The sequence below is a fragment of the Homo sapiens genome, chromosome 2 (assembly GCF_000001405.40).
Source record: "Homo sapiens chromosome 2, GRCh38.p14 Primary Assembly".
In the NCBI taxonomy this organism is placed as follows: domain Eukaryota; kingdom Metazoa; phylum Chordata; class Mammalia; order Primates; family Hominidae; genus Homo; species Homo sapiens.
In genome coordinates, this window is record NC_000002.12 from 128,545,079 (window position 1) to 128,568,965 (window position 23,887).

Below are 23,887 nucleotides of genomic sequence, written 5' to 3' on the forward strand. Positions count from 1 at the left end.
TCCTTCAGAGGCCATGTAGTTCCTGGGGGAGCAAGTAGGGCAGTGTCCTGTGTCTGTGGAGTGGCAGAACTCAACTCAGCTGCTCCTGCTCTGTAAGCCAAGCAGGTGTGGACACCCGCTGGGCCTATGGGACCCATGAAAGTGCGTGGACCCGGATCCTGTGCTGGGAGCCATGAGACTGAGTTTGGCCTGTGTGGAAGGGTCCATCCAGCCCAGGGGAGGGAGGGGTGAGAGGATGCTCCAAAGAGTAGGAATGGTTGGGAGAGTTCAGGGGAGGGGGACTGGAGAAGATCAGAGGGATGGCGCCCTGTGCTTGTGGGCCACTGTCCTCATTCACCAGCTGGTGTCTGTGTGGCGCCTGGTACCTGGCATGTGCTTGTCCTCCTGACTTCCCTCTTCTCACAACAACCTGAGGTTGCTACTGTTACTCATCTTTTAAAATGAGGTGGTGCAGGCCTAGGCAGGAGAGTCTACAGAGCTAGAAGCTGGGGAGGGATGCATGCCCAGCTCCACGCAGGCCTCCTAGATGCACTTGGGGACAACCTGGAGGCAGAAGCATGACGGCTCCAGGGTGGGTGTCTGGGATTGGGGTTTTAGACAATTGTTGAGTTATCTGTATGATATGAAACACTGCCCAACTTCCCTTTGCACATCCCTGTGGTGAGCATTTATTCTTTGGGAAAAGAAACACTCAGAGAGGGAAACAAGTTTGTAAACAACACAGTGATTCCTGGGGGCCTGCATGGACTCATTAAAAACAAGCCATGGCTTCATGACATTCAGTTTCACTGGGCAGATACGCTGAGCCTTAAGACCCAGTGCTCTTAAATAAAGTACACTGTGAGTTCTGGAAAACACTGGACAACATTTCTAATTATGTTGCTGTGGAAAAAACAGGAACAGGGCACCACATGGCGGGGCGACTGCAATTAGATCGACCCAAAGTAGGCCAGGCTTCTGCACCCACAGCTTGGGCGAGGAGCCACATTGGATTCAGACACATTTTCTATACCATGGCTGCAGGGCTCTGTCTGTGACTGTGACAGTTCGTTTTAATCAATGACCTACATCATGGCAGACGGATGGAAAAAAAAGCTGGGGGAGAGAGATGCTTTGTTGAATGAGCAGCTACCAGAATGGTGACCAGACCAGGAAGGTGACGCCTTGAAGGCACAATGTAGGCCTGTTGTGCCCATAGGGAGGATGAGCTGGGTTTGCCATGGAGCTCAGACACAGGGGGTATGATGTGAAATGTAAGCTTTCCCAGAGGTTTATGGTACTTAGACTACAGACAGACTTCTCAAGGCCTCAGAGAAGTTAATCCAAAAAGCCCAGAATGAATCTTTTTTCTTTCACAGTCATTCCTCACTCACTTTCCTACCAGCCCACTCTTCCATGTCCCCACTGCCATTTACCCATCTACCCCATCAATCCACCCACTCATCCACCCACCACCCATCCATCAACTATCTATCTGCCAATCCACCCACCCATCCATTCACCCAGCCATCCATTTACCTACCCATTAATCTACCCATTATCCATCCATGCATCCATCCTTCCATCCACCCATCTATCCATTATTCACCCATTCATCCATTCACCTATTATCCACCCATCCACCCATCTGTCCATTCTCCATCCATCCAGCCACCCGTCCATCCATCCACCTATCTGTGCACCCATTCATCCATTCACCTATTATCCACCCATACATCCATCTGTCCATTCTCCATCCATCCATCCATCCACCTATCTATGCACCCATTCATTCATCCATTATCCACCCATTCATTCATTCACCCATTATCCACCCACTCACCCATCCATCCATCCATCCACCCCTCTATCCATCCATCCACCCACCTATCTATTCACCCATTCATGTACCCATTATCCATCCATGCATCCATCCTTCCATCCACCCATCAACCCATTATCCACCCATTCATCCATTCACCTATTATCCACCTATCCGCCCATCCATCCATCCATCCATCCATTCTCCATCCATCCAGCCACCCGTCCATCCGTCCACCTATCTGTGTACCTATTCATCCATTCACCTATTATCCACCCATCCACCCATCTATCCATCCATCCATTCTCCATCTATCCATCCATCCATTCACCTTTCTATGCACCCGTTCATTCATTTATTATCCACCCATTCATCCATTCACCCATTATCCACCCAGCCACCCACCCACCCATCCATCCATCCATCCATCCACACATCTATCCATCCATCCACCCACCTATCTATACACCCATTCATCCACCCATTATCTATCCATCCATCCATCCATGCATCCATACATTCATCCATAATTCACACATTATCCATTTATTCATCCACCCATCCATTTACCCACCCACCCACTCATCCATCCACTCACCCACCCATCCATCCATTCACCCACTCACTCGCCTGTTCCACCATCCTCCTGTCCAGCATCCCAGGCACTGTACTAGGTGCTGGAGAGCTGGCACATGAATTAGACACAACCCCTGCTTTTAAAGAGCTCATAGCCTATTCATGCATTTGAGTGGGAAAAACAAAAGAAAGAGTCAGAGAGTGCATTTTAGTGGGAGGTTTCTGGAGTGAAGCGGATTGTGGAAAAGGACAGCCACTGAGGAGTTAAGCAGGAAGTGCCATGGCAAGATTTGAGTGTTAGGACCCTGTCATTAGCAGCTCTGGGCAGGCTGGATTGGAGGAGAGCCATGAGAGACTCAATGGCTGGCAGTGTGTTTCAATAGCCTCCAGGAGGGATGACATGGCCTGGGAAGCAGAAGGGGAAAGGTCAAGGAGGGCCACGGGGCAAGATGCTTTGATGTGTAGGATTGGTTGAATATTTCAAAGGTGGAAGCAGAGATCAGTCTGAGGCTCTGGGAAGCACTATGGCCCTGGAGGCCAAAACATCATTATCGCCTGATTATTCCCCAGGCCTGGGGGCCCTTGAGTCTTCCTCCTCCTGTTATCTATGCTTTTCTCTGCCCACTCTCCCTTTTCTAGAATTGTGAGAGCCAGAAACAGCCAAGGGTCAGGGGAGAATAAGTGAATTTCCTGCTTGTAAATCACTGGAAAGCACCGACCATTCTCTGCTGTTTCACCCTGACCAGCAGCCATTTATCTGGATAATGCATTTATTTATTGCCACTCCACCATTTTGCATTGAGATATATGTGCAAACCAAAGTGCCAATGATTTGCTTGCAAACATCAAAGGTAGGAGAATAAAATGAAATTGGGCATATTAGATTATTTGGTATTGAATTCAACGTCTGCAGCTCCCCATTTTTCTCCATCACCCGCCTTTCCTACAAATCAATTTACAAGACTTTCGCTGGAAATATTACTTAGTATCAAAATCTGTGGGCAGAACCCAGCAGCTGGATCATTCTCCTAGTAGAAGGCAGAGAGATGTTGAGTGGGATGGCGCCAGGCTTGCGTCAGGGCGGCTGTGCTGGATGGACCTCCCGCCTCCACCCCTCAGGCCCCACAGCACTGGGGCAGAAGCACAGACACACGCGTGCACACACACAGTGATCTGGCCCCAGAAAGCTTCCTGGGCTTGGGGAAGTCACAGGAAGAGGCTCTGTGTTCTCAGGAGAGATTCCGGGCACGGCACCTGCCTCTGCCTGTGTGAGGATCAGGGCTACCATCCTCTCAAGGTGGAGGCGTGAGTGGGCTAGCCTGAAAGGATGTCCACAATGTGTCTGGAAGGGTGGTCACTGTCCAGCCACCTGTGTGGGCAGCTGCCCAGCCTGCAGCATGCCTGGCCAGCTCCTCTCCTCACTCCAAGGGACCTCCTCGTCCACTTGGCTGCTCCCTGCTGTCCTCTGACCAGGCTCAGTCCCTCACTGTCCTTACCCCTTCCCAGTGGTTTCTCCTCTGCCCCAGGCTTGATCCAGTGACAACATCACATTATCCCTATTAATTTTTAATCCTTTAAAATTGTTTTCAAAGAAAAGTTTACCTGGCAGGGTAGAACAACTTGGGGACCAGAACATGGGATGTTTAGGCTCGAACTGGCTTTCTCTCCCCAGGCCCCGCTGCTCCTGGCTGGGCCCTCTCTGGTCTCAGTTTTCACATCTGTTAACCGGGGTGATTCCTGCCCTGATTACTTCTCCAGGCATTGGAATCATGTGAGAGAATGGATGTGAAAACACTCTGCTATGTTACCACACATGCACTCAGCGCTTTCCCGGCCTCAGCCCAGTTTCCTCACTGTGTGACTTGGGCAGGTTGCTCAGTCTCTGTGGACTTGGGGTTCCTTGTCTCTAACACTTCCTCCAAGGGGTTGCTCTCAGGAGGGGAGGCAGTAAGGCTCACTGTGACCCTGCAGGCTCATGCCTCACTATGGGCCAGCCACATGCTGAGCCCTCAATAACTGGTAGTGATTATTATGCATTTTTTAAAAAACATGAAAACATGTGGACGTTGCAGGATTGAGAAAATGTGAATACCTGATGAATCAGAAAGGAATTCTGGGAAGCTGGAATCCTGAGGGGAAAAGGGCCTTTTCTTCCATGTGAAATCTCTTGTCCTGTTTTGGGGTCAAAGGAGCAAATGAGCTTCAGGAGAGAGACCGGAGGGGTTCTTAGGACAAGCACTGCTCAGTAGCCCAGCTGCCCTGTGGAAGTCCCTGCTGCCCTGTGGCCTGTCCCAGGCCCTGCGGTCCTTGGGCCTTGCACCCACCCCACCCTGGGGCTGGTGTGACCTCACTTAGCAACCCAGGGACCGCAGCGAGCGGTGGGTTTGCAGAAGCCCATGGTCCCTCCTGCCTGCCAGGAGTCTGGGCTGCTGGGCAGCCCCCATGCACGGGCACCTATCCTGTGTCAGCCATCTACCTCCTCCCTGTGCCCCACAGCCTTCCCTACCCATCCCTGTCGCCTGCAGGAAGCCAGTCTAATGAGAGCACTGGGCTGCCTGCTGGGGTGGCCAAAACCACACCGTCAGCATTTCTACAGCGTCTCATAAATTCCCAGAGAAACTCCCTGCAGACAGAAGCTCAGCACTGAGGCTCTCTGCTCGGAGAGGCATGTCCTCCTGAAGTTAGAGTGGAAATCAGTTTCTGGGTGGTCCTCCACCCTACAGCTTCCTTTTGGGAAAGGCTGAAGAGGGGCTGAGGAAGAAAGAGGGCAGGGGACAGTCACCTGGACATCCGGGCTTGCCCTCCCTTCCCACTCCCCTTCATCTTCCCCTCCTCCTCCCTCTGCCTTCCTCCTCCTTCCCTCTGTCTCGTGTAAGGGTCTGGATTACTGTTTAAGAAACTTGAAATTCTCTACCAGAGTGAACCCTGGGATTTTGCCCCTGCAAAGTGTCTCAGTTCCTGACATGGCTACACCTAACATGTGTGGCTTTCTTACACATTGCCACTTGGTTCTGGCTGAAAACCTGGAGGTTTTGGAGTCAGAGGGACATGGTTTATATTTGCAGTTCTTCCTCTTAGTGGATGTGGGGCCTGGGCACGTTCACATCTGTGCACACAAAAATGCCACCAATGGTGCTCAATGAAACTGTGATGTCACCCTAACTCACGAGTGTCTCTGGAGCTCCTCACGAATGCCTTCCTTTTGGCATAGCAGGGTCATTTGATGTCTGAGGTGGAGCCAAAGATCAACAAAGCCGGACAGTACTTAAATTCATGAGAACAGATTTCTTCAGTAACTGCCGACAGTGGGGGAAGAGCTGAGCTCCCTTTCGACCTGTGCAAAGAACGGAAGGGCTTTTGCTGCCTGGTTTCTTCCCTGGGTGGGTTTGTGTTCCTCGCAATGGGTAGAGGGCAACGAGGCAGCCCCGATTCTTCACAGGGAGGGAGGTCTGTGCTCATGAAAGCCCCCTCCTGCGGAACCCGGGCCTGGGAGCTCCAAGGTCACAGGACAGTGGGGGTGGGGGAGGGCTGTAGAACATTCTGGGTCCTGCAGGGTGTGGGGGCTATTGTGGGTGCTGATTAGGGAGCATGCTGGCTGGGCTGTAGTGGGCACTGTTTGGTCTGGGTTGCCCCACTTTGCTGGTGAGCAGAGCACCATGGAGCTGACCCGAAGTGCCCTAGAAGCAGGCCTGGGCCTCTCTCTTGGAAGAATAATTAGGCTGTGCATGGTTCCAGCATGCCGGGGTCTTTTGGGGCCTCTTTGGCAGCTACTTGCCTGGGCCTTTGGAGGTGCTGCCTCCATGAGGGATGAGGGCCCCTCTGCTGTGCCTGCCAGCATTTCCCTGAGTGTTCTCATGGGTCCGATTCTCAATCAGAGAAGCTATTCTCCTTAGCTCTGCTCCTGCCATGCCAGCATCCAAACAGCTGAGGTGTGCAGTGGCAGGGCCAGGCATCTATGCTGGCACAGGAGCTGCCATAGATGGGAGGTGCTGGGATGAGCTGAAGGCTGTGGCTGGGCTCATACCTGCTGGCCGATGTGGGTGCCTTCTGAAAGCAGATGCGGAGATCGGGCCTGGAAGAGGGCAGAGCCAGTTGGTTAGAGTGCGGTCCCAGCTACTCAGGGGCGAGAGGACCTCGAACAGAGTAGGGACCAGGAGGACCAGGCTGAGGGGTGAATGCTGGGTGAAGGGACCCTCCCTCCCAAGTTGAACAGGCCTGACCAGTGAGGGCTCAGTCCCTGAGAGTTCAGTCCCTGCAGACCCCACCCAGCCCAAGGGTGGGGAGTCTCAGGCTGTAGCCAGGCCAGCAGCCCAGGTTCAGGTTCTCAACAACTGGCAATCCGGAAGGAAGTTCAGAATATCACATGTCAATTAAACACAGCTGGACCGGGATAGGGGAGAAAGGGCCATTTAGGGCTCTGGACTTCCTGATTAATGTCCCCAAACTATTTCAGCCTCTTTCTTGTTAGAGACATTTCTCTGGTGCCCAAGGCCCTTTCTTGCCTCTGCATCCATTAATAGGGTGCTCTCCGGACTTTTGAATAAAGCCCAGTGCACACTGTCTGGGCCTCTGGCCACAGAAGTGGAGGTGGCATCAGACCCACCCCAGGACCTCCAGTAGGACCTTATCTCTTGTTATTACCTCCTCCTCAAAGTGATGGCAGGGAAAATTCTGGATCACTAGTACCCAGGGTATGGGGAGGGAGGTTTTCTGAGCATTTGTTAGTTATTTTCTCTTTCTTCTAATTGCTGGGGTACAGCCTGGACCAGGAGTCCCAGGCTCCTTTGTGTGGGCTCCCACTCTGAGGGACAGGCAGCTCCCCGCCTTCCACCAAGTTCTCCTGGATGAAAAGAAGGCATGCCCACAGGAGCTGTGCACGTGCAGATGCTGGCTGCAGGCTGGGAGCTTCCCTATCCTGGAGTTTGTTCAGCTGGGAGCCACGTGCCTGCAGATGCCCTGGGTGGAGATGGGAAGCTCTGATTCCCAGACACCTGCATGGGAATCCAGACCCACCCCAGGCCTGCTGAATCAGCACCTCTATACTGGTGGGGGGCTGCCCAGGAACTGCACATCAACAATGGCCTTTAGTCTTGGGGGCTGGGAGAGGATGGTGGCAGGCTCTCTCCTAGCCCTGGATGTGTGGCTGGCCTGGCTTGGGCAGCGTGGCCGCTGGGCCTGATAATGTTCAACCTTGAACTGAGCCCAGTGTGGACACGAGGAGCCCCTCCTTGGTTGCTGGGGGGTGCACAGAAATCAGGGGAGACACACCTTTCCTGGAGCATGTCTCCCACAGGGCGCTGGCTGCCCCTGCTGGGCCCTCTGCTGGGGCTGGCATTGTGCTCAGCCGCCTGTCTCTTAAAAACACCATTTCTTTTCAGAGGAAGTGATTTTGCCTTTAACATCTGGACGTTATTGTTGTTTCTTCTAGGGTTCAGCAAGGAAACCCTTCCTTCTCTTTCCTCAGCTGCAAGAGCAGTGGTCTGGGGACTGTTAGTCCACGACTGGCCAAGGAGACTGCCCTGGGCCACCTGCCAACATCACTGTGGTTCCCCGTCAGCACCCTGGTTTTCCTCTTGTTCCCAGGCCAATGACCTAGGTTTCAGGCCCAGCTCATGCTGGCTGGCTTTGGACCATTCTTCCTCCAGGCCTCAGTTTCCCCAGGTGTGGAAAGTGTCTGGCTGTGTGTGTTCTCGGGATGGGGATGCCTCGGTCCTCTCTGGGAGCCCGGCTTGTTTGGCTATCCGGCTCCCACTGCCCTCCTCAGATTCTGGTCCCTGCCATCTGAGCCTGGGTCTACTTGGCTGGAGAGGCTTCAATTCCATGGCTGTGGGTTAAAGTGGGTGGCCCAGCATCAGGGCCCTCAGTGGTCAGACCTTGTTGGCAGCGGCACAAGTCAGCACCCTTCTCCAGTGCTTGTGATATGATCTCTTCCAGGAGGCCTCAGAGGGGAACCCGCAAGCCCCCCTGGGGTGGGTGAGCTGTCGAGATGCCGTCTATACATGGTTTAGATGGACAGACCCCCAGGAGTCAGGGCTGCTTGGTGGCCTGAGGCTTGAGCAGCTACTCCCTGTGTCACCTCAGCTTTCCTGACTCAAACATTGGGATAATAAAAGCACCTCCCTCAGGAGTGATGGGATGTCCTGTGCCTCCAGATACCAGGGTCTGGGTCAGGGCCCAGCTTACTCCTTATTGGTAGCAGGGCCTTTTGTATTTGGGCTGAAATCTCACAAAATCTACTCTTCTTACCCTAGCCTGCCCTCTGGTTTGAACTGGAGTGGGGCAGTGTGGTGAGGTGGAGAGAGTACACCTCTCAGGACAAAGCTGACTGCACCCCAAGGCTGGGAGCTTGCTCTGCCCATGTGAGGATCCCCAGGTACTGTACCTTAGACCCTGTGGCGGGTGCACAAGAAATAGTCACTCAATGTTTGAATAAATGCGTATATGCTGCTGGTGTTGAAAACAAATGGGTACAAACCAGAAACCAAGATAACCCCAAACCTTCCCAGGCCTTTCCCTGGGCTTCTGCCTGGCCAGCCCCCACTCACCCTGAACTTGTGCACTGATCTTTTCACTTTTCAGGCTTAAATCCACACAGACTGAAGCCTCCGGGGACAGCTACTCAGGAAGCGTGGGGGTGCTCCCACCCCACCCCATTGATCCTGAAGTCCCTCCCCTCTGCGTGGTCTGCAGAGTGGCCTCAGCCTGCTGCAGCTCTGCCTGCCCAGATCCTGTCTCCCTGCTGGGCCTGACACAGTTTGCTCCTTGCTCTCAGGAGTCCCTGGGTCTCTCTGACTGGTACCCTGGCAACGCAGAGCAGGACGGTCCTGTCTCCTGTGCACAAGGGCAGCCTCACTCTGGCTTGGCCCATTTGTGTTGTCCACATGTGCCTGGTCTTGGGGGTGTCTGGTTCTGGTGTCCCCTCCACGCTCTTCGTAAGCCAGGCCTGCTCTCTGCGGTGGTGCACTGTCTCTCTGGGGAGGCTCAGGGGGTGTGGAGCACCAACACCCCCTCCTGTTAGAGCTGCCTCCTCCAGCATTTTCTAGAAGCTGCCAGCATTCCTTGGCTCCTGACCACATCGTCCCAGTCTCTGCTTTCAGCAGCACAGCACTTCCCCCTCACTGGGCTCTCCTGTCTCCTTACAGTGACTACCCTGAGGGCCCACCTGGACAATCCAGGGCAACAGCCCCATCTCCAGAGCCTCCATCTCATCACACCTGCAAAGCCTCTTGCCATAGAATGCAACTCTGTGGCAACACTCACAGGTGATTCAGGCGTCCATGGGAACTTTATCATTTTCAAAATGCATCCAATGTTGAGACAGCAAAGTAGAAAGAGAGCAAGTTGGAACTGAGACAGACTGGTTGGAAATATGGCCTCCCGTATGTGTGGCCTGGGACAGGTGACCTCACTTCTCTGGGTCCTAGCTGTCTGGGGCGGATCTCAGAGCTTCCACCTTCCCTCAAAAGGGGCTGGCTTCACACATTCTCTGTGACTTGAAATCAAACAACTGAGTGTCTTCATTTGGGGGAAGGAGAGGGGTGGAGGGGAAATAAGGGGCATCAGAAAACAGGGTCTGAACCTTCAAGTCCCAGCCCGAGATCAGTCAGTGCCCATCAATCCTTTCATTGATTCCAGAAGTTTGAAGACTGAGCATGCTCTTTTGCTCACTTTCATTTAAAAATGTTCGCCAGGTGCTGCTGAGTGACTTGCAACTCACTGCAAGTTGGATTCCCAGGAAGCCAACTCCGAGATCCGGATTAGCTTAGGAGGTGCTGGGATCAACTCCTGGGAAGGAGTTGCAGGGTTGGGTGGAGGGTCCTGCAGAGAGCTCTGAAACTGGGGGAACTGTCAGTGTGTCCCAGCATTATGCAGGAGGACAGGTCCTTATATCACTGTGTCTTCAGGAATCAGATGTGACCATCTGAAAAAGGGAGGTAGTCTCCCAAAAGGTGGAAGATGAAGAAGGACCAAGGTGTTGCATTCATGGCCCCTCAAACACCTGTTTTTTTCTTCCCCTCTTGCCTCCATGCCTTTGCACAAGGTGGCCCCTATTCCTGGACTGTCTGTCTTTTCTTTCCCATCCCTGCAGCTCCTAGGTAACTTCTACTTAGTGTGCAAGGCTCAGTCCAGGGAGCAGTTCCTCCAGGGGCCTCCCTGGCCTTGCGGGTGAAGTGAAGTCCTCTCACCCCTGCACACCTGATGCTCTCACAGTGGCTCTTGCACACACCAAGATGTGCAAGATGGCAGAAGTGTTTGTTCAGGGGTCTACCTCCCCTCCAGCCCAGCCCAAGGAGGGCAGCTGCTGTGACCTGTACTTGGAATCAGGCACTCTGTACATGTATAGTGCATGAGGCTTAGTAACTGCTGCCTGATTTTCTGAGGACGGTCGGTTTTAGTGTCTTGGAATCTCCTGGGTCAAATGACTTTTCAAGCCTTCCAATAGGAATGTTAACCTTCTAACCTTGATGGAGTGGCAAGTGCAGGGTTTGACTAAGTGACAACACAGGCAGCTTAGTAAGATGCCATGCCTGGTACTCGTCCTGTGTAGTGGAATCAGCGGCTCCCACGGGAGGAACCTGCTCTGTGAGCAGTGTGAAAATATCATGGGAAGTCGACTGAAGTGGGGAGGTGATGTGTGATGAGAGTGGGGGTTCCTGGGCTGGACTGCCCCTGTTTGTTGATACCATTAGTAGTTTTTGCTGTGATCTTCGGATGGATGCACTCAAACAGCAGAGACACAGGAAGGTTTGGCTCCTTCTTGATGAAGTTAAATGTTGTGGGTGTGTTTCCTTCACTGTGTTTAACAATGGAACACAATGAACCCTGGGACCTGCTGACAATGATGAGTTGCTATGGCCTGGATGTTTGTGTCCCTAAAAAATCCATATGTTGAGTGCTAACCCAGTGTGAGGGTATCAGGAGGTGGGGCCTTTGGGAAGTGATTAAGGCGTTAAGAGTGGAGGCTTCATGAATGGGATTAGTGCCCTTATAAAAGAGGCCACAGAGAGACCCCTTGCTTCTTCTGCCATTACGACTAGGAGGTGCTTTCTATGAACCAGACAGTGGGCCCTCACCAGACACCATCTGCTGGTGTCTTGATGTTGGACTCCCCAGCCTCCAGAGCTGTGAGAAATACATTTTTGTTGTTTCTAAGCCACCCAGTCTATGGCATTTTGTTATAGCAGCCAAAATGGACTAAAGCAGGACTCAGTCAGGGCAGGATGCGAGTTAGAATCACATGGGAGTGTTATTATAATGCAGATTCCCAGTTCCTCTCAGAGCTCCTGAACTGCGGCCTCTGGGCAAGGGGATGGGACATTACAGCTTTTAGAAGGTTCCCAGGTGACTGTGGGGCCACCAGCCCAGCACAGCCTGCAGACTGACACTTGGGGTCTCTAGCCAGGATGGACAAATGCCCCAGCACACTGGCTGTGGAGAAATGTGACATTAGTGGTGTTTGACGGTGTCACCTCCACTCCCTGGGCTAGTGACCTTGCAGACTAAAAGTAAAGCTAATGTTAACTGAGCACTTACTATGTGCAAGGTCTCTGCAACCCCGTGAGTTAGGAACTATTATCATCCCCAAAATGCAGATGATGGTATTGAGGCACAGAGAGGTTTGATTAACCGGTCCAAGGTGCCAGGGCAGGAGGGTGGCAAAGAACGTTCAAAGCTGACCTGCTGATCCAGACCCAGCTCCTGCCCCCACTCTGGATTGCCTCTGTAAGCAGGGGTGCCGTGGGGCTTGGGAGGGGCAGGAGCTGTGTGGTTTTCTGTGCTCTGCTATGCCCAGCTGAGTGTCTCTGGACCATTGCTTCCCTCCCCAGGCCATGGCTCATTATTCCAAGCTGCAGGGCCGGTGAGAGCTGGGACACGCACCCAGTGGCTGCCCCTCAGGCTGGAGCCCCCCGTTTCTTTTACACCTGGCTTTGTGGACCCAGGGAACTAGGATGATGTCCAGGTAAAGAATTGGGGGCTGCCTTGGTTTCCCTTTATAGTGTGGTTTCCCTTTCTACTTCTGAAAAGTGGAAACACCCTTTCTGCTTCTTCATTTTTTAAAATAAGTTTTTAATTGTTTTATCTGATAGTGTACTCATTGTAATACATTAGAAAAATCAAAAGTATAAAACAATGCAGAAAACTCACCCACAATTCTTCCATTCACTGTTAACACTATCAAGGTTTTCTTTCCAGTATTTTCAAACTTGCTTTCTTGCTTTTCTTAATTGAGCTCATACTTTAAATAAAAATTTGCATTCTGATTTTAGTTCAGTGTTATATTGAAAACACTTCTGCACACCCTTAAAACAGCTTTTTGTAAACATTTTTCATCATTTCATAATATTCCAGCAATATGCAAATTTATTATTTCACCATTTCCCACATCTGGATTGTTTCAATTTCTTGCTATGATGAGAATGCTTGATGAATATTTTAGTGTCTACGTCTTTACCCATGCCTCTGTGGGATTTTGCAGAAGCAGTATCAGTGGGTTATTACAAAGGCTCTTGATACAAATTGCAAAATTGCTTCCCTGAAAACTTGTGCTAACTCATCTTCCTGCCCTTGTGAGTTAATATTTGACCTCAAAGGGATGCTAGAAGTCTTCAGTTATGAAATGACCCTCCAAATTAAATTGAGGCAGACAGAACGTGGAGTCAGCCCATCTCTCCGTGAAGGAGGCCCCTGGGGGACCTTCAGGCTCTATTAAGAGAGCACGTGGTCTGTTGGAATAGGAGGAATAAAACTCCTCTTCAGGCAGATTAGGCAGGTCATATTTGCCTGTTAAGCCTGTTATTTGTAATAGATCTCATTTTAAAAGATCCATTGCCAACATAATGTCAGATAATTTTCCATTGAATTGCCTTTTAGATTTTAATATGTTTCTGCTCAGTCACTTTGAGGAGTTTTTTTTTTTTTTAAATCTTTCTTTTTAAATGTTCCAAGTTTTCCATATCCCCACCCCCTTCCTGTGTCCAGGACAGACTTTTCAATCAACCCAGCACGATTTTCCTGCTAGACCTGGAGACCCCCTCTGAAGCCTTTGCACTGCTTTACCCCAGGAAGTCATTGCCAATCAAAATAAGCTGGCACAGAAAATTTAAACTCATTTTCTGTCTCCTGTTAACCTCCCCAAATTGCAGCACATCTCACAGGGTGCTGTAACTGGTGGCTCAGTGGTTTCTCCCCGCCCACTAGTGAGTGGGCTTCTTGAGAGGAGATGAGTGAGTGGATGACTACTGAGGGAGGTGAGGAGGCTCTGGGTGATATTTTGGGGTGCAGTCTTCCATTGGTCCATATGGGATCCTTCAGCTCCTCTCTTATCAATGACTACATTGTCATCTACTCACGTTTAAGCCCAAGATGGCCTGACCTGGGCTTGAGATGCTTATAAAGTCCCTATTTTATACCTTCGAGAACCCATTGCCCATGATTCCTCTCTTCTATACAAAGGCTTTTTTTTTTTTTCTTGGATTCATCTAAGGAGCCATTTTCCAAGGGAAAACTTGGGCAGCTGTAGGAGCTACGGGAAGCTTTGTGGACGTGGAGGCAGTGGGCAGGTGACAGGTGGCCTCCTCTCTGCTCCGGCCCACTCTTCATGGTCCACCTCTGTCCCATCAGGGACCCATTGCCATTGGCAGCGGTGAGTCGGGCTCTGGCTGATGGTGTCTCCTGAGGCTCAATGGAGTCACTCTGCAAAGGCGTGCAGCGTCCTCATTGCCAAGGCCCTCTTCCTATGTGGACTGTGAGCTTCTTGAGAGCAGAAGCCACACCTGATAACCCTGTTTCTTTCCTGGTGTTGACTGTTTGTAAATTGTAATGATGATTCACTTGTTTCCTCATTCACCAAATAGTTACGGAGCCCCTTCTAAGGGCAGGCACTGTTCTAGGTGCTTGGGATTCCTGCCTCGAGGAGTGTACATTCTTGGAGGATGGGGAGAAATTAAACAATCATCATGATGCATTTGTAATTTATGCAGTGTGGTGGAAGGTGACGAAGACAGAGCAAAACAGCCTAAGCAGATTGGAGTGCTGACCATCATTTTATATAGGGTGACCGAGGTAAGCCTCAATAAGCAGGAGACATTTCAGTGCAGCCTTGAAAGAGCTGGGGGCATTGGCATACAAGTGTCTATGGAGAGAATGTTCCAGGCAGAGGAGGCAGCGAGTGCAAGGGCCCTAGGGCAGAGTGGGACACTGAAGTGGCGAATGGAGGTCACCGTGGAGGGACAGGGTCAGAGATGCCTGGGCCCCGTGAGCCTTTGTGAGGACTTGGGCTTTCCCCCTGAGACAGGCAGGAGCCTTGCTGAGATTGTAGGAACGGAGTGGGGAGACAGTTGGGAGGACTATGCTGAGGGTGATGGGAGTGTGAGCTGTGAGGGTGATGGGAAGTGGCCAGATCCTGGATGTATTTTGAAGGGAGAGCTGGCAGAGTTTCCAGGTCATGGGATCTCAGAGGAGTCAAAGCTGACTCTAAGATATTGAGCTGAGCAATTGGAAGCCTAGCGCTGGTCACTGAGGGGAATGGCAAGGCCGTGGGAGGCGTGGGTTTTGGACAAGAGGTGGAAGGACCAGCAGCGAGGCTTGGGCATGCTGGGCTGGAGGTGCCCACCAGACCTGCAGGAGTGGTCACAGGTGGGCAGGCAGGCTGTGGGTGCGGCTGGTGGATGCACGCAGCCTGTGGAAACTCTCTTCTACCTCCTCTGTGTCCTTGGTGAAGCAGGACCATCACTGCTGAGAGTGAGGATGGGGAGAGTCCTGGGAGAGATGGGCAGGTGAGACTCAACCTCAACCATCTGTCTGTGTGGATGAAGGCATGCGCCACGGAGCTTCAGGGGCTCGGGGGAAGCCCGTTGTCATGAACTGAGCGGGTGGCCAGTCACTGGGGTTTGCCTGTCTTTGGCTGTGTGTATTTAGCTGCAGGGCATGGGGGGAGCTGGGCTTCATCTTCGCTGGGCTTTGGTCTCCTGTGTAGGGCAACGTGCAAGGAGGCCTAGGTTGGCCTCCTTGCAGTCCATTCCCCATGGAGCAGCCAAAGGAATATTTAAAAAATGGACATCAGATGATGACATTCTCTTGTGAAAATCACTCCAAATCCTCCCATTTCTCTTAGAAAGACATTCAAAAGCCAGAGGATAGCCAAAAGGGCCCTGCAGGGCCTAGCCCTCACTACCCTCCGACCCTGTTTTCTACAAGATTGTCCTCTCTCACTGCACTCCAGCCACACTGGTAGGACCCAGAGCCTTTGCATGCATTGTCCTTTCGCCTGGAACAGCCTAGACCCTGCAAGATCTCCCTCAGAGAGGCCCACTCTCTGAAACAGTCCTGAGACTATCTATCTCCTTCCTCCATTGTGTCTTTCCCCATAGTGGTTATCACTGCCTGTTACTATATTACATATTTATCTATGTTCTCTCCTCCACAACAGAATAGAGGCTCTGTTGGGGCAAGCACCGCTCTGTGTGTCCGGAGGCTTCAACCCATAGCATGCTGCTCATACATGAATCACTTCACAAAAGCCACAAAAGTTATCTACATATGAGTTTAAAGTAAGAAAACTTTAACATCTTCTGAAGGTCAAAGACCTGAATAATAAAAAGCATATCATACTGGATAGCAAGACTATTTTTTTTTTTTTTGAGACGGAGTTTCACTCTTGTTGTCCAGGCTGGAGTGCAATGGTGCCATCTCGGCTCACCATAACCTCTGCCTCCTGGGTTCAAGTGATTCTCCTGCCTCAGCCTCCTGAGTAGCTGAGATTACAGGCATGTGGCACCACGCCCGGCTAATTTTATATTTTTAGTAGAGACAGGGTTTCTCCATGTTGTTCAGGCTGGTCTTGAACTCCCGACCTCAGGTGATTCACCCGCCTCGGCCTCCCAAAGTGCTGGGATTACAGGCGTCAGCCACTGTGCCCGGCCGCAAGACTCTTACAATGAATACATCAGGTCTCTCTCTATGAATCTGTGACTCCAATGCAATCCCAAGGTTCTAATGAACGTCATTCTAAAGTTCTGAGCTAATTCTAAAGTTCACTTTGGGATGGAGGGAACATGTAAAAACAGCCAGAAAATGTCTTAAAAGGAATATAAAAAGGGAGAAATAACCCTACTATACAAATAGAAAAGTTACAGTAGTTAGAAGAGTGTGTCTGGCACAAGGATAAACAGAAAAAAAGAATAGAACATAAATAAATGTCTGGAAAAGAATCCAAGTATGTATAAAAATATAGGGCTTGAAGCAGGTGGCATATCAAACCCATGGAAGGGGAGACTTATTCAACTCAGTGGCCATGCAGAAAAATAAAATAAAAAAATAAATAAGTAAACCTGGATCCCTAGCTCACCTCAAAACCAAGGCAAATTACATATGCATCAAACATTTAGTGCAAAAAAATAAACTCTAAAAAAATGAAAAGAAACGCAAAATGCCTAAAAATTTAACTTTACATTGAGGAAGGACTTTTAAAGCAAAACACAAAATCCAGAAGCTTTAAAGGTTTGACCATCTCCACTACAAAATAAAGTTTTGAAACCCCGCTCAAGCAAATATTTTAAACATAAAACAAAATAATAAAAGATCAAAATTTGAAGGAATAACTGCAGTACTATGATGAATAAAGGGATAATTTATTTAACAATAGGAAACAGATAAAAATCCTAATAGGAAAAGAGACAAAGATGTATAGTCAGGTCACAGAAAAGGCAACACAAATAGCCAATAAATGTGTGAAAAGTTATTCTATCTCATTCACTAATCTACAAAATGCAAACTAAAGCAAGTGTATCAGAGTTTTCATCTATCCGGTTAGGAAAGGCAAAACTTTGATGATATGTAGCATTTTTAGTGTGTGGGAGAAAAGTACTTATATTCTATCGTTTGGAGGAAATTTGGCGCAAATTCTGGGTAAAGCAATTTGGCTGATCTAAAATGTAAAATGCACAGAGCATTTCAATCAATGCTTCATTTCCTGGGAGCTTACTCTACAGGTATGCCATTGGGAAAAAAAAAACTCATTCATCAGGATGTTCCCTGCAGAATTTGTATGGTAGTCCAAGACCAAAAAAGCCTAGTTATCCATCAAGAGAGGAATTGTTAATTAAATTAAATCATAGTATTCCTATACAATGGAATGTTGCATAGCCATGGGAAAAAATATGAGTCAGCTCCAAATATGGTGATATGAACAATCTCCAAGATAGGCTGATAAGGAAGGCAAAGGGCTCAAATTATGTACAACATGCTCTCTCCTTGAAAAACTGGCAGGACAGTAGTTTCTTATGTATATGCTTGCAATGAACATGACTGTGCGGGAACCTCTGGACAGAGCCAAACGTCTGTGCGTTAAGAGTTGCCTCTGGTGGGGTCTGTGGGACGGTGGGCCTGGGGTGGGAGTGACCTAATATTAGCTTGGAGACCAAGCTTCTCTGAGGGTGGAGCAGACATTTTCAAATCCAACATGACTAAGGGGGCTGTAAAGAAGCCAGGTCTTCCCCCGTGAGTCCCTACGCTTCATGCCACCACCAGGCCACCAGCCCAGGGCATTGTCTTGAAATGTCTGCTTGTTTGCAGTCAGAGACCCAGTAGGCCAGGAAGACCCTTGGCTCTGCATGGGGGAAGAAGACAGGAAGTGGAGGGAAGAACATTCTAGAACATTCTAGGCCCAGGGCAGGAATGTAGAGAAGGATTTTGCCTCTGCTGTTTGCTGGGATCTTGAGTGGTGAGGAGGGGGTGCAGAACACAGGGAACTCCTCTATAGATACTGGTGACACTGCCTTGGCCCCTCTGTGGCAGGCTGTTGCCTACACCAGGGGCCCGGGGAGGGGCTCTTCCTCCAGTTGGCAGCTTGTGCTGGGCACTGTTCCCTGCACAGGGTGATGGAGGAAATTAGCTTCAGCCCCTTGCAGCAAGGAGCTCACAGTTTGGCAGTGAGAATGCTACAGCGTGGGATGGGCCCGGGCTGGGAGCTCCTCCAAGGCTGGAGCTGGAGCTCCTCCAAGGCTGGAGCTGGATCTCCCTTGACTAAATTAACTAACAACAAAGGAATGAATGAGCTAGCCAGCCCAGGGAGCTTTGGAGTACCAAGCGGGGGTGTGGAGTCTCACTCGGAGTGGGACCTCAGGCCAGGCCAGAAGACTTTCTGGAGCAAGAGCTGTGGAAGCTGAGTCAGAGGGGTGGACAACAGGAATTCTCTCTTGAGGCTGATCCCACTGTCCTGTGGCAGGGGCCCAGCCTGCTCCAGCAGACAGACACTGGGCCCCTGGAAGACCACTCAGCCACCCACCTCTTTATGTCATGGAAAGCGCAGAAAGCACAGTTACTATCTGCCCTGCAATAGACATTTTTCTTTTTTTTTTTTTTTTGAGATGGAGTCTCGCTCTGTCACCTGAGCTGGAGGGCTGGAGTGCAGTGGCACAATCTCGGCTCACTGCAACCTCTGCCTTCCAGGTTCAAGTGATTCTTCTGCCTCAGCCTTCTGAGTAGCTGGGACTACAGGAGCGTGTCACCACACCCGGCTAATTTTTGTATTTTTAGTAGAGATGGGGTTTTGCCATGTTGGCCAGGCTGGTCTCCAACTCCTGACCTCAGGTGATCTGCCTGCCTTGGCCTCCCAAAGTGCTGGGATTATAGGCCTGAGCCACCATGCCCGGCTGGACATCTTTGTGAATACAATTTGCCTTCACTGTTTGCTGTTTCTTAGTGCCACCATGCATGGGTGTTTGAAGTGCTTTCTCACTTAGCAGTGAACTGAAAAGAAACAGAAGCCGGCTCATTGTCATGACACACATGGGTCTCACCATGCCCTTCACCCAGAGCTGCTGGCCCGAGAGAACTTGAGAAGGCCCGTTGAGTCTTGGGAACAGCACTAGCTAAGGGTCTGCATGCTGCAGAGCTGGGGTCCTACCTTCAGGATCCATATATGCCTTGAACATAACCATGACTGGATGCAGTTTCTCCCAGGGCCAGGACACCTGGGTCTGAGAACCAAGAGGTGGCTGCATGGAGGGCTCCTTTCTGTGATCGCTAAGGCCCTTCTTGCAATGTATGCTACTGGTTCCACAGTCATGGTCCCTGCTTGTTTTCATGAAAGTCTTGGTTCCTAAGGAAGAAATGTGACAATTGCTTCATGGAAGTTAATTTGTGAATGGCACTCAGCTGCTTTGGATCCACAACATCATTGCCCAGTGAGCAAAGCAGAGGACTTCCACACTGGCTGGGTGCTTGGGCCCGGAGAAGAACGTGTCTGGAACATGGGGTACCTCTTTGTGCTAGTACATGGTAAAAACGAATGGAAGGATACAACAATCCAATATAGGTCATGGCTTAGATCCTTCAGGAATGAAGGTTTGGGTCACCTTGCCAGGTAATTAACCATGATCAGCCAAGGTGTGGGCTGCGGTGAAGGACACGTGGCCTGGATTGTGGGAAAGGAAGGTTGTCAAGGCCCACCAGGGCTGTAAAAGCTCCGTGTGAATTTGTCCTTGCTTTATTGTGTATTTGTATATATTTACCCAGTTCTCTCTTATCTCTCTGTCCACTCCTTGCTAATATGAAGCACTAGTTATGGGATCTCCAACAGGGGTCGTGACTCAGCTGGAAATGGGAGGAATCTTCTCCAGAGGCGGATACCTGGTTGACTGGCCTTTGCATCTTCCCTTTTAGAGGAATGATTGAATTTACACTGATGGTGTGAGGGATGGCTGCATTGTGCAAGACGCAGCACACTGCTGCTCTGGCTGTTTGGAAGTTTGGTACGGGTGTAGGGATCTGAGGTGGCAAAGGTGTCAATTGTGCTGGATTGCCTGTTGGTGACTCGGCTTCACTGCCCCACCTTCTTTTCTGCATAGTTGCCGGCGAGGAGCCTACAACTGCATTTCCTGCAATCCCCTTCCTCAAGGTCTGGGTAGAGTCAGCCAAGGAGGGGCACTCATATGAGATTTGGAAGGTGAAAGAGAAAGGGAACCCAGTGGCAATTGATGGCAGCTTTTCAGGGTCCCCTGCTTTGGTGCTGTGAGCAGCTGAGATAATTTTTGGTGGCCTCCTTGACCCTTGCATCCCAGCCTTCCAACAGGTGAAAGCTTTGCATTCCCCTCGTTAAAGCCATTTCCGTTCACAATGGAGGATCTCAAGTGGTTTCCATTTTCCTCACCAAACCCTGCCTCATGCAACTCATTTCAGCTGCTGCAGTGTGCTGGGCCCATGAACCCAGAGTGTGCACACGGGCTGGAAGATATTTACTGGTAATTTCTAGAAAAATTGACATATGCACCCTTACCTGGCCTGTCTGCAGGGCAAAGTTCTCAAGGCAGTGTGGGGTTCCGTGGTCTGGATCTGTTTGGCAGAGTCTGTATGCCCAGTTAAATGAATTTACAGATGATTTGAACTATGTTTAAACTTTCCTCATAAAATCGACAAGTACCTTAAAATATTTCTGGCCATAAACTGCAGATTAATGATACTACTAATAATGAAAGCAGATGCAATAGGAAGTACTGGAATGGGCATTGTACTCCTAAGGGTGTCTTTGAATCCACATGATGGTATGGGAACACTGCTGAGCTACTTAGATTTAATGCATTTGCATCACTAATAAATTTTACAAATATAACTTTTATTTGGGAGGCTGAGGTGAACAGATCACCTGAGGTCAGGAGTTCAAGACCAGCCTGGCCAACGTGATGAAACCCCATCTCTACTAAAAATACAAAAATTAGCCATTGCGGTGGTAGGCACCTATAATCCCAGCTACTTGGGAGACTGAGGCCAGAGAATTGCTCAAACCTGGGGGGCGGAGGTTGCAATGAGCTGAGATCTCGCCATTGCATTCCAGCCTGGGTGACAGAGTGAGACTCCATCTCCAAAAAAAAAAAAAGTATATATATATATAATTTTTAAATAGATTTTAAAATAAATAGATCTTTGGATAATTGTGCATAGTGTTCATAGTGTTCTATGCTATAGTGTTAGATGTTATAGTACATTAATAGAGAAGCCCACAATAATCTCTCATGTATGGATAAGAGCGTGTACCTGCGTGTGCCTTTGCTTGTCCTGGTTGATTTGAGTGGTGAGTAAGGTGGAGGTGGGAAGAGGTTATTTGGGGAAAGGCTTTTGTTTTCTTTCCATTGCATTTTAAAAATAATAGTTAGCTACATGGATATTATTTTTGAATATCAATTCCATGTTCAGGCACTTTACTGAATTCTCTTAGTTTTCAAATAGTTTTTCAATTGATTCTTCTGATTCTTCCAGGTATATGAATAATAATAATTTTGCTTTCTTCTTCCCAATTTGTATATCAAACCACCAGACCCAGATTGAATTCTATATCATCAAAGGATAGAATTTGAATGCACATTTAAGCTCTCCAAGAATTTAGAGAGAAAAGGAAAACCTCAAAATTATTTGATGGAGTCAGCATAAAATTCACACCAAAACCAGACAAAAAGAGCACAGAAATAAAAACATATCAATTAATGCAAAAAGTTGAAATACAATGTTAGCTAATCAAATCTATAAATAAAATTGAGAAACAACGCAATGCAATCAGGAGAGGCTCATTTCAAAAATGCAAAGGTGTTTTACTATTAGGAAATAATTAGTATTAAAAAAAGACTGGGGGCCAGGCGTAGTGACTCACTCCTGTAAACCCAGCACTTTGGGAGGCGTAGGTGAGTGGATCATTTGAGCCCAGGAGTTCAAGACTGGCCTGGGCAACATGGCAAAATTCTGTCTCTACAAAAAATACAAAAATTAGCTGGGTGTGGTGGCGCATACCTGTAGTCCCAGCTACTCAGGAGTCTGAGGTGGGAGGATTGCTTGAGCCGCAGAGGTCAAGGCTTCAGTGAGCTGAGATCATGCCACTGCACTCCAGCGTGGGTGACAGAGTGAGACCCTGTCTCAAAAAAACCCCAAAACCTGGGAAATAATTTCCCATATTAAGGGGTCATTAGAGGGGTAAAAAACCCATGATGATCTCCATTGAAGCCAAAATGGTATTTGATAAAAGTGTTTAGTCATACCTAAAACAGGAATAGCTAAGTACTTCCTTAATGTATCAGGAGAAACAAACTCAAACAAGACACCAGCTTTCTATTGAATAGGGAAATGCAAGAATATGCCATTAAAGCAGATATAAGGCTATTTCCATTACTATTTCTATATAATAGTATTTCTATCATATATAATAGTATTTCTACTACTATTTTCATCACTATTATTTGAGCTTGTGTGAGAAGGACTAACTAGTACAGCTAGAAAATATAAAAAGAATAAGATATAAAAACTGGGATGGAGGGAGCAAAATTATCATTATTTTCAGGTGGCTTAATTGTGTACCTGAAGGAAGTAGAATTTAGTGAAAACTTACTGGAAAAACAAGGGAATTCAGCAAAAATAATGGAATTGAGATATTTTCCTATGGTAACTTATCTACTATTTTTTTTTACATTCTACATATTTTTTCTTATATTCAAATTTGATAACTCATATTTTCCTGAAAAGTAATTCATTTCTTCCAGGTTTTATGTGCATTGCATAGATTTGAGCAAAATATGCTTCTGTTATGTTTTACAATTTTTTTTCTGATTTGATTGGAATGATGTGCTTTGAATTCTCCATTTGCCCCTCTCCAATCTGTTTTTCACCTTTTTTGCCCTATTCTGGGCCCTAAAAGGCTGATGTTTGTGGCTGTGTCACCTGAGCAACCTTGCTGCCAGCCGGCTTCCAGGTGGGTTCCAGGCAGGATGGGGGAAGGCAGCAGAGGGCAGGAGGAGGGGCTCCTTCCAGCTCACCCTGCCTGTCACTTTGCTGGAAGTTCCTGCCCTCGCCAGGCTTCTTGCTTCTTCATTCCTAAGGTGGGGAGAGCTTCTAGCTGCTGCTCCTCTCTGGGTGCCTCGGGCTCACTCCCTGGTTCCTTTCATCCTGCCCACCACTCTGTAAGCAGGTCGGCCATCAAGGTCGAAGCCCAGCATTTGTAAATGTCCCATAGATTTTGAAAAGCAGGTGGCATTCTGTTTGCTGGGCATAGTGTGAGATATAATTATTCATTTTGTTACATGGACCCCCATCCTTAATCTCTTGTCATTGTTGTGATTTATATGATTGATTGGTCATAGGCAGAGGGAGGCTAGTCAAATCTGTTTGCTACTGTTGAATTTCTATTTTCTTTGTATTTACTGTAGTTTTTCCTTTTATAATTTGGTGCCCCATTATTTGGCATATACATTTTCCTGAGTTAGAACTTCATTGTATATTATACTCTTTATCATTCCGCAGTGCTTTTCTCCTCTCCCCAGTGCCTTCCCTCGGATCACCTTGACTGATGACCCCATCACAGCCCTGGCTTCACTCTGTCTGGCTTTGCCCAGCCATTCACATTCAGGTTCTCAGTGACTTTGCTGCAGATATATCTCTTTGTTTTCCACAAACAAATTTTTAAAATGTAATCTTTAAAATGTGAGTTTATTCAGTTATACTTGTTGATATATCAAGAAAGTCTGGTCTTAC

The 23,887-nt window shown here is 48.9% G+C and overlaps 1 long non-coding RNA gene across 1 annotated transcript in view, besides 1 other annotated feature; it reads left to right on the top strand.

Annotated features, from left to right (window-relative positions):
- The window catches only part of LOC105373611 (uncharacterized), a 241,632-nt gene that overhangs the window by 142,476 nt on the left and 75,269 nt on the right, over positions 1-23,887 (top strand). The window lies entirely within an intron of this gene.
- Positions 7,717-8,372: an enhancer, noted in NCBI's record as "H3K4me1 hESC enhancer chr2:129310369-129311024 (GRCh37/hg19 assembly coordinates)". NCBI's record gives its function as "activates a minimal SCP1, AML or CMV promoter by ChIP-STARR-seq in primed H9 embryonic stem cells {active_cell/tissue: H9 hESC(primed)}" and the evidence as "EXISTENCE:reporter gene assay evidence [ECO:0000049][PMID:30033119]".